Below are 11,277 nucleotides of genomic sequence, written 5' to 3' on the forward strand. Positions count from 1 at the left end.
ATCTAACTTTATATTCCCCATGTAGTAAATATAAATTGTAAATTAAAATATAATAAAACAGAAATCTTCTGAATTCTTGCCAGTATGAAGAAGCCAATATTCTCTTCTGATGCATATCCTCCTAGACACTGCTAATATGCAAACATCCCATTCCTAATATGCACATGTAAAATGCTATATGAAATTATAGTTGCTATTATTATTGGTTTTACAAAAATGATGTTATATTTTTTAAGTACATATGCATTCTTACATATTAGGGAAGTAGGAATTTCTTCAATTGAGCAGTTCTGAGACATTATCTTGAGAGGCTGTGCATTACTGTAAGGTAAAGATGTACTCCAGTGTCTTCATATACTCTGAGAGTGACTTCCCTTTACTCCCAAATTTGTTTTGCATCAATAAAACAAATTTCGTTATAAAAGTTTTTGAAAAAACACGTTTGTAATAACTATTGAAAATATATTACCTCTACAAGATCAAATTTCATTGATTTAGCTTGTAAAGTAAGAAGAATATATATATATATATATATATTTTTTTTTTTAAACAGAAGTCAATTTACTGCCCAAAATGCATGCAACAATTGAAGGGTAGGGTGGAATGGCATATCAGCTGAATCAGCTGAGGCAAGGTGGAATACAGAATTCATTCCAGATATTCAAATAAAAAACTTAAATAAGAGGACAATTTGTGTGATATATTATTTCCCCTGGTTTATCTTAACAACTTACTGCAAATTGGGTGGCTTAAGGCAATAGCAGATTAGTCACTCATCAGTTCTCTAGGCTCCTCCAAAATCACAACGTTGGCAGGAACTCACTTCCTTCAAAGGCTTTAAGGATGACTCATTCCTTGCCCCTTTTTGTTTTGGTGAATCTTGACCATCTTTGGTTTGTGGTTGAATCATTCCAGTCTCTGCCTTCACCTTTACATGATGTCCTTCTCTGTTTCTCTGCACCTTTTTTCCCCTCAAACTTCTTCTGCCTCTTTGTCTTTTATAATAACACTTGTCGTTGGACTTCATGTGCAACCTAAATCATGGTACTTTCATTTACAATCTTTAGCTTCACTATAGCTGAAAGTCTTTGTTTTTCTAAATAAGATTAAATTTGAAGGTTCTAGTTGGAGATTTCTATTTTGAGGGTCCAACATTCAACCCAACACACATAGGTAAGGCTAGTTTAGGATGAAAACTAAATATTAACAAAGCAAGACCTGAAGCTACAAGGAAAGAAAATATGTTATCAGAGACGAGTAAGATGTAGGCAGTTAGAGGAATAAACATTCTCAGGATATTTAGATTTAAAAATATATGGACAAAGATATGAGAAACAAGTAGGGTAAAATGCAAAGAAAATCCCATATCCTTTGTTTCCACCATCTTAGCTATTTTTGGTGTTTCTAATCAGTTAAATCCAAACCCAAGGGTCAGAGAAAGGTGGTAAATACATCTGAAGGAATGGGAAGGTGAAAGAAGATGTATTACAGAGCCTGATCCTAACCCCTAATTATATGACTCACTCAGTTATTTTTCATTTTATTGCTCAGGTGGTCTCTTAATCAACAGTTAACCATTGATCTTCAGAATGAGATCTTGGCACCTTAGTTAAATTGTGCTCCAACTGCACAGTAGCACATAACTATATTCTGTGAATAAAACACCCCTTGACATAATGTAAGTTTGTATTTAAATTTCAGTACTCATTATTGAATACCATAGGGACAAAGTTAAAAAAAAATTCACTGAAGCCACATGACAAACCTATAAAGAAATTATTTCTGTAATTTCAAGTCTTCATCTCATGTTAATAACTTAGCTAGTAATTTTCTCAATGCCACCATGATATCTTTGTTCCTCAGGGTATATATAATAGGATTCAAAGTTGGAATCAGAATGGTGTAGAAAAGAGAAATCAGTTTCCCCATCCTTTGAAACTGATGTGGTTTGGGCTGTAAATAAGTGATAGTACCTGCTCCAAAGAATAAGATTACAACTATTAGGTGAGATGAGCAGGTGGAGAAGGCTTTAGCCTTTCCTCTGGCTGATGACAATTTCAAAATGTTGGAGATAATTTTGCCATAAGAGACAACAATCAACAGAAATGGCACCGTGATAAACACCACCGCTACTACATGGACTGTTATCTCATTCACAAATATGTTTCCACAAGCAAGCTTGAGTATTGGCGGGATGTCACAAAAGAAATGATTAATTGTGTTAGTTCCGCAAAAGGGCAAAAGGAAAATTTGGCATGTTTCCCCAATTACTACAGGAATTGTGATGGTCCAGGAAGCTATTATCAGCTGAATGCAGACTTTGTGGTTCATCACTAGAGGATACTGCAAAGGCTTACAAATAGCCACGTAGCGGTCATAGGCCATCACTGTCAGAAGGAGACACTCCGTGCCTCCAAGCATAAGAAAAAAACACATTTGTGTAGCACAAGCAAACAAAGAAATATTTCCTTTCTGAGTCCAAATGTCCATGAGCATTCTTGGGATAATGATTGTTACATAACAGATTTCCAAAAGGGAAAAATTGCTAAGAAAAAAATACATGGGAGTCTGGAGAGCGGGGTGAATTTTTATTAGTAGTATTATGATGCCATTGCACATCAGGATCATCAAATACATAAGTAAAAATATACTAAAAAGCATCCAGTGGAGATTGGGAATATCAGAAAACCCCAAAAGAACAAATTCCATTATTGTAGTCACATTTGATTTTTCTCTTTTAGTTTGCTCTCCATCTGCAGATATAGCAAATTCAAGACAGTTAATTCATCCATATTTTGAACAATATTTTCCTCTTGGGTTAACTAAATGAGATACAGGAATATACTTACTTAAGCTCTTAAGTCATTTTCACCAGTACTTGCTCTGTTTCTAGATAATAAACTGATTTAGCATTAAAATCAATTTAAGAAATGAAACCTCAATATATTTTATTATACTGGGATATAATGCAACCAGAGGCATTGAGAAGCATGCATTGTTGTTTAGAAAATATTATGGAGGAATAACATCTTATTATTTCACACTTAAGAGTAGAGTTATAGTGTAGGCTTTTACTATTTCATCTGAGAATATCATTTTTCTTTGTATTGGTAGTCATATTCCAGTTTTTTTAATTCAAAATGTTGCCCTTGAATATTACGATTAATTCATACTCAAAATGAATTTTAAACTTTTCCTTTTATGCACCAGTGAGAATCAATTATCTTAAACAATTTCTTGGTTACTGAGAGACTAAATACATGCATTATTGTTGCTCTACTTCATGTCTCTCTCCTATTATTTATGCTAAATATAAAAACACTAATACCAGTAGGCAGTTTATTGACTTCCCCTGTTATTGCCCTGAATACAGTGAATGCTAAATAGTAATTAAATTATAACTTAATCAAGATGTAGAAATTCATCACAATTTTTTTTACATTTCTTTTTTTTATCTAAGTGAATTTCTCCATTGTCATATAACCAAATACAGTTCCTTTCAACCAAATACAATTCCTTCTCTCTATTTTCCCTTCATCCTGTTGCCTTATTAAAGTAAAATTCTTTGATTAAACCCAGCTAACATTTACTCTGGCCATCTAAGTGGCCAGAGCATATAAATGGGACCAAAAAATTAAACAAAACAAAACAAAAACACACTGTCTTGCTTCACTTCATGTCAATGTCATCCAATATGAGGAAATCACTGCTTGTCAATTCCCATTACACTTGCTTAACGTTTGTTCTCCAACTTTCTAAACAAATTCTTTTTTTCTGTGTCTTCAAATCTGCTGCACCTATACCTATTTTAGCCCGGTCAGCCAATGCATTTGACTTAATACGTTGATAAATGAAAGTGATCAGACAAATACTATCTCATATTTATACATTTCTATTAGTACTAGTTTTCAAAATTGCCTTAAATGACTTTTCATCACTAATGCAATTTTACCATTATTGGACATCTAATTTTATTTAACTTTGTAGTGAAGAGATACATGATTTAAATGTTAAATAATTAATTTTCAGATAAAGGTCTCAAAATTTCATGCTTTTCTGTTTTATTAGTTGCATTTCTATCCACAAACTTGTAACTATTCTTAAATAAAATAGTCTGTCAACCCAATTATGGCTTACCTTTAGGGATTTGCATGAAGCTGTCTGTACAGACTTTTTAAGCTCTTCCTTTTCTCGGGAACTGTAATTTTGCAATACGCTTGCTTGTTTCAAACAGCAACAGCTCTTATATAGGAATAGTCAGACTCAACCTGGGATGTGTCTTCTCTTGAGTATCAGTTTAATTTCTAGAAGGCTGCTTCTGTTTGTCAATCATTCTGATTCATTTTTCAAAACTACTTTAAGTAAACTTATCCTCCTCTTCATCTCCTCATGAGGGGAGTTAATTAAATACCATTTAGTTGTCTAGTATTACTTTCAGGAAAAAGTTAAAAATTTTCCAACTGTGTATTTGAGGCCCCTAATACTTAGTGTGGATTTGTCTGCCTTACTTCTATTCCAATAATTTATCCAGATCCAAATTAACTAGACCTTTAAAAAATATATCATGTGTTTAATCACACGAACATGATATGCTTGATGTCTTCGACATATTGAACGGTGAGATTCTTTTTCAGATGTGGAACCCTCTGTTCCTAGGTTAACTTTTTTTGTGGATATTAAAACATGTTAATTCTGCTGAGAAAATCTATCTATACATTTATTTCATTCTGTGTTGTCTATAAGGCACCAGGGAAATGTATCCAGCTGATTGAAAATGTAATATACCACTCCAAGACGTCCCACTAGACGCAGTCAAGAGGAACATCGCCCACGAGGGACCAGGACATCAGGAAGATTGGTGCACTCCTAGCAAATCTTCAGAAGGAAAGGAATTCTGCATGGGGGTACCACACACAGGAAGCATTCCTGGCCCCCAGTGACTCCTGCAAAAGCATGAGTTGAATGGGCAAGGAGCAACCCTCTCTTTCCATGAGCCTCCGAATCCCAGCAGGAGAAAACCCCTGGACCACAAGTAACACTTGAACTGGCAGGGAGAGATGCTTAGACAAGTGGTAGGGGCAGAACTCCAGCCTGTGTGGAATCCAGAGGGTTTAGTGTGAAAGTGTCTGTAGTGGAGCATGGCCAGGGATGCCCATCCCCCCAGGCTTGACCTGCTCCCGTAGGAAGCTTTAGCCCTATGGGAACTATGGGACCTGAATTCTGCACGGCAGTCTCACCCACTACATGAGGCTATTCTAACTTCAGCACCACTCAGTTTGCTGGCCTCTCCTGGGTCCCAGCTTGGCCCCCAGCCAGGTACCTCCTGGGGGCCACATCATAGCTCCTGTGCTGGTGGACCCCCGGCTGACCAGCAGACTGATCCAGCAGAGTAGCCTGTGCAGACACAGGCCAGCCCACCAGCACCCTCCCTGCACTGCAGCCTCTCGGGCCACTTTGCCTGCACTCACTCACCCATAGCCACCCCCTATTTATGTCTCTCTCCTATTATTTATGCTAATTATAAAAACACTAATACCAGCATCCCTTTGCCAGTGAGTGTGTGTGCCAGAGGACATTGCCTTCCCTTCCCTGCCACTGTGAGTGTGCCCATACATCCTGTGTGCCACTGCTCCCGGAGTGAGTGCACCTTTGGCCCTGCTGCAGAGCCGTTGTCCTCGGAGCGTTTGTGGGCCCGTCCCTCCCTGAGCGGGTCTAATGGTCACTAACTAGTGATCATTAGAGAAATGCAAATCAAACTTTCCATCACTAACCAGTGATCATTAGAGAAATGCAAATCAAAACCACAATGAGATAGATACCATCTCACACCAGTCAAAATCACTATTATTAAAAAGTCAAAAAATAACAGATGCTGGTGAGGTTGCAGTGAAGAGGCAACACTTACAGTGTCTTGATGGGAGTGTAAATTAGTTCAACCATTGTGGAAAGCAGTGTGACGATTCCTGAAAGAGGTAAAAACAGAACTGCCATTCTACCCCATAATCACATTACTGGCTCTAGATCCAAAGGAATAGAAATCATTCCATTATAAAGATGCATGCACACATACATTCATTGCAGCACTATTCTCAATAGCATAGACATGGAATCAATCTATATGTCCATCAGTGGTAGACTAGATAAAGAAAATGTGGTACGTATACATCATGGAATCCTATGAAACCATTAAAAAAGAAGACTATGTCCTTTGCAGGAACATGGATGGAGCTGAGGGCCATTATCCTTAGCGAACTAACTCAAGAACAGAAAACCAAATACTGCATGCTCTCACTTAAAAGTGAGAGCTAAGTGATGGGAACACATGGACACATGGAGGGCCTACCTGAGGATGGAGAATGAAAGGAGGGAGAGGAGCAGAAAAAATAACTATTGGGTACTAGGCTTAATACCTGGGTGAGGGCCAGGCACTGTGGCTCAAGCCTGTAATCCCAGCACTTTGGGAGGCCGAGGAGGGCGGATGACCTGATGTCAGGAGTTCGAGACCAGCCTGACCAACATGGAGAAATCCCATCTCTACTAAAAATACAAAATTAGCCAGGTGTAGTGGTACATGCCTGTAATCTCAGCTGCTAGGGAGGGTGAGGCAGGAGAATCACTTGAACCTGGGAGGTGGAGGTTGCGGTGAGCCGAGATCGTGCCATTGCACTCCAGACTGGGCAACAAGAGTGAAACTCTGTCTCAAAAGAAAAACAAAAAATAATACCTGGGTGAAATCTGTACAACAAACCCCATGTGGAACAACCCTTCAAATGGACACCTGAACCTACAATAAAAAAAAAAAATTTAATGCAAGCCACTTCAAAAATAAACATTTTAAACTAGATTATTTAAAACAGAAGGAAAAGAAGAAACTTTTCAACATCCTTTCCCTATTGCAGCTACTTCCGGGTGTGTATGGTGATGTTTCTCAGGCATAAAATCAGGAGCACCAAATCTACTTCTATGTGGAGTTACATTTGTTTCTTCTTGTTTGGCGTTCTATGACCATTTGACAGTATGTTTCTAAAACCAACTTCCTCTATGCATGCTAAATCTGCTTCTCTATACCACAGCATGCCTCTCCTACATTGTTCCTCTGTACTCTTTATTATCACTGATTTGGTATGTCCAAAGAGGGCTTTCTTCATTTCCATCTACAATTGAAAATGGTACTCATGATTTTCCAGAAACTTTCCATTACCAGGTTGGGACAAGCTGAATGTCCATTTTCCACTGGAGTACACTGGTGTATTATGAAAAAGGAGAATTGGATAAATTGGGTATTTCATAATTCATTTAAATACCACAGTGACCTGAACAAGTCTAAAACCTGAAACATTACCACAGATATATCAACGCCTTATCAAAATAAAGAAGTATCTTACATTCATATCATAGTGCAATGTGGTGGTTAGTAATTAAAAAACTCTATTTCCTTCCATCTGATAGTCCTATTGTTCCCTAGGTCATCTTTGTAGTTCTCTATTGGACCACGAGCATTCAGAGAGCTGAGAACCAAGTATGGACAGAGCATAAGGAAAGAAACTCCCTCTAAAGAGTCTCAGCACATGATAGATGCGTCATTTCCACACATATGCTATTGTAGAAACTATTAACATGATCTAACTTAAATGTGAGAGGGCTAGGGGATGTTGTATTACTGTAGGTCAAAAAAACAAAACGATTTTTGGAGAACATCAAGGCAGATTCCACCCCAGGGTATTTCACTCTTTCTCCCAAATATAGAAGGTATTTCCCCAATGCCATAACGTTCAGCCCTAAAAATTTATGATCTATGATTATTACCCATTTCTCTATATTAGGTATGGGTGATCTCCTTCAGTTTAAGAGACCAATGAATAAAAAATGGAAATATTTCTTCCACTACACACTCAGTATACAGTGACATTGGAGTGGAACATGCTGATGCTTTTTTTTTTTTTTTTTTGGAGAGACAGCTGTCACTATTTCTCTGGGTAGAATCTTAAGGACACTTACCCTGCATACAAATAGATTCCTTTATTAATTTTTCTTCTAAACGCTTGGTTCCACTCTACCTTGTTTACCTCTTTTGCAGTGGCATCTAAAGGAGATTTGAACAATCCCAGTCTCCTTGCACCCTGCTCAGATTTGCATCTCAATTAATGGTGAAGCAGGTCTGAGGACCTGGAATTTATTTACAGATCGAAGAGTCAAAGATTTAGTAATCTTGACCTTGTGATGTTTTTGGCTGTAACATTTTCTTGGAAATTAAAAAAAAAAAACTCTCATTTAATTACTGCACAACAATCCCTGTGACAAATTTTTCTGAAATATAGATTTTAAATATCCTAGTACCCTCATGCCTCTCTGTTTCAAGTTAAAGCTGGCTAATTGGTAGCTCTCTGAGATTTTAGGCATCACTTAGAGCATCAATTTATTTATTATCTAACTCTGACAATTTTGAAAGTAAATGGAGAAACTAAAATTGACATATTATATTGTGAAACCTGTATTTAAAAGCAAGTTTCAAATGCAACATAGCATGTGATAACTTGAATACATTTATATTTATGTTTAAATGTTAAAATTTACAACACAATAATTATTCCTGATATTTGTCCATGTATTTTAGTTGTTTTATAAAAATATATTTGCATCTTATATTAATACAATGTAATTATTATTTTTAATATGGTCTTACTCTTATATTAACAATGTTACTGAAGCATAATTTTCAGAAAATAAACTACATACTTTAAAATATATTTAATTATATTTAAAATTCAATGTGGTGACAGACATATTCAATTGTGAAACCACAATCAAGGTACAGAACATTCACATTATCCAGAAACAGTCCTTCTTAAAATTTTTCAATATCATTCATTTTCGCCTGTAACCCAAGGAAACCACAGATCAGATTCCTATAGTTAAAGATAATTAATAATCAACAGAATATACATTTTTATGTGTGAAGTTTTTTTCCTTAGCATAAAGATTTAAGAGACATCTATGATGTAAATATCAATAGTTTTTTCATTGTCATTGCAGAATAGAATTCCATTGGATGAACATACCGTAATTTGCTTATGCATTCCTCTGCTGGTGAGCTTTGATTGTTTCCATGTTTTGGTGTTGTACATGGAGCGGCTGTGTGTATTCATAAACGCGGTTTACATTTGACACATATTTTCATTTATTTTGGATAAATGAATCATGTTATAGAATTTATTTATATTTTAGGAAATTGTCAAAGTGTTTTTTGAAGCACTTATATTCTTTTACATTCTCTCCAACAAAGTATGAGAGTAAAAATACTTCTATACCTTTGCCAAAACTTGACACTGTTAGAATTTTCAACTTTTGCCATAGTCATGGGTAGGTTCTGGATTTTTATTCCTATGTCTTTAATGACTAAAATGGTGTGCACATTTTTATGTGCTTATTGAATACTTACAAGTAATTTTTGGCTAACTTGTTTAATAAATTCATTTATTTCTTACAGGACTGTATTCTTTTTTTTTTTTTTTTTTTTTTGAGATGGAGTCTCACGCTGCTGCCCAGGCTGGAGTGCAGTGGTGCCATCTCGGCTCACTGCAAGCTCCGCCTCCCAGGTTCACACCATTCTCCTGCCTCAGCCTTCTGAGTAGCTGGGACTACAGGCGCCCGCCACCACGCCCGGCTAATTTTTTTTTTGTATTTTTAGTAGAGACGGGGTTTCATCATGTTAGCCAGGATGGTCTCGATCTCCTGACTTCGTGATCTACCTGCTTCGGCCTCCCAAAGTGCTGGGATTACAGGCGTGAGCCACCGCGCCCGGCCCAGGATTGTCTTCTTATGATTGGATGGCAAGTGTTCTTTACACATTTTGTATACAAACTCTTACTCAGAAATATTAAGAAATATTTTTACCACTCTTTAGTTGCCTTTTTTATTTTATTAACGCTATTCTTTAAAGAAAAGAGCTGTTAGTTTTGGTTTAATTTAATACATATTTTTATGAATTATGCTTTCTGAGTACTCTTTTAGAAGTGTGTAATAATCTTTATATCCCTACAATTTTCTTTTATGATTTTTTCTAGACGTTTCTATACTTTAGATGTTACTTTCAAGTCTATGACCCATTTTGAGTTGATGTTTGCATTTAATGTGAAGTCAAGTTTGATGTTCCTTTAGTCCCTATGTAGATATCTGCTCTTGCACTGTTTGTTGAAAAGGCTTTTAATTCCCCATGGAATATCCCAGCATCTTTGTCAAAAATCAGCTAATTATCTACATATTATGTTATATATATAAGATAATATACATTAATATATTATTAATATGATATAAATATATTAATATGCAATATATTATATAATATCTAATTTATATTTTTTTCTGGACTCTTTATTTTCATTCCACTGGTCTTTATATTTAGATACCTTAAGATATTCTAGGTAAACATTCATAACACTTACTTAAAGGAGCAACTTTTCCTTTAATAGTTTCAATTTTACTTTCCCTCACTTCGTTGCACTGGCTAGAACCTCCTGCACAAGGTAACATGCATATTTTTCTAATTGATATATAATATACATATTTATGAGCTGTATGTGGTATTTTCATACATGGATACATTGTGTAACTATCACATCCAGTGTAATTGGGATATTCATCACCTGAAACTATTATCATTTATTTGTGTTGGCATTATCCTAACACTTCTCCTCCAGCTATTTTGAAATATACAACATATTATTTTTAACTGTAGTTGCCCTAATGGGCTATCAAGCACTAGAACTTATTCCTTCTATCTCTCTGTATTTTTGTACCCATAAGCCAAACGCTCCTCATGCTCCCTTCCTCCCATCCCATCCCAGCATTTGGCAACCACCATTCTATTCTTTACTTCCATGGAATCAAAATTTTTTAGCTTTACATATGAGTGAGATAATGCAACATTTGTCTCCTTGTGTCTGGCTTAGTTCAGTTAACATAACAACGTCCAGTTTCATCAATTTTTCTGCAAATGACAGGATTTCATTCCCCATCCCATCCCTTTTCTTCCTAGCCTCTGCTTCTGTGGAAATCAAGTTTCTCCAGCAACATTTATTAAAAAGGCTGCTTTTCCCACCAATGAACTTTCTTGGCACTCATGTTAAAAATCAGTTGAACATATACGTGAGAAGTTATTTATGGCTCAAAAACAAACAACAACAGAAAAAATATAGCATGGGCTGGGCCCAGTGGCTGATGCCTGTAATCCCAGCACTTTGGGAGGCCAAGGCGGGCCGATCACTTGAAGTTGGGAGT

At 36.2% G+C, this 11,277-nt stretch overlaps 1 protein-coding gene across 1 annotated transcript; it reads right to left on the reverse strand.

Annotated features, from left to right (window-relative positions):
- On the reverse strand, positions 1 to 4,191 carry OR10AG1 (olfactory receptor family 10 subfamily AG member 1). Its single transcript, NM_001005491.2, has 2 exons — positions 4,138 to 4,191; positions 1 to 2,753 (listed from the first exon to the last, which is right to left on the reverse strand). The coding sequence occupies exons 1-2, from the start codon at positions 4,151 to 4,153 to the stop codon at positions 1,804 to 1,806; spliced, it is 966 nt and encodes a 321-aa protein (NP_001005491.2). The 5' UTR covers positions 4,154 to 4,191; the 3' UTR covers positions 1 to 1,803.
- Between the last annotated feature and the right edge of the window lie 7,086 nt (positions 4,192 to 11,277).

This window comes from Homo sapiens, chromosome 11 (genome assembly GCF_000001405.40).
Source record: "Homo sapiens chromosome 11, GRCh38.p14 Primary Assembly".
NCBI classification, from domain to species: domain Eukaryota; kingdom Metazoa; phylum Chordata; class Mammalia; order Primates; family Hominidae; genus Homo; species Homo sapiens.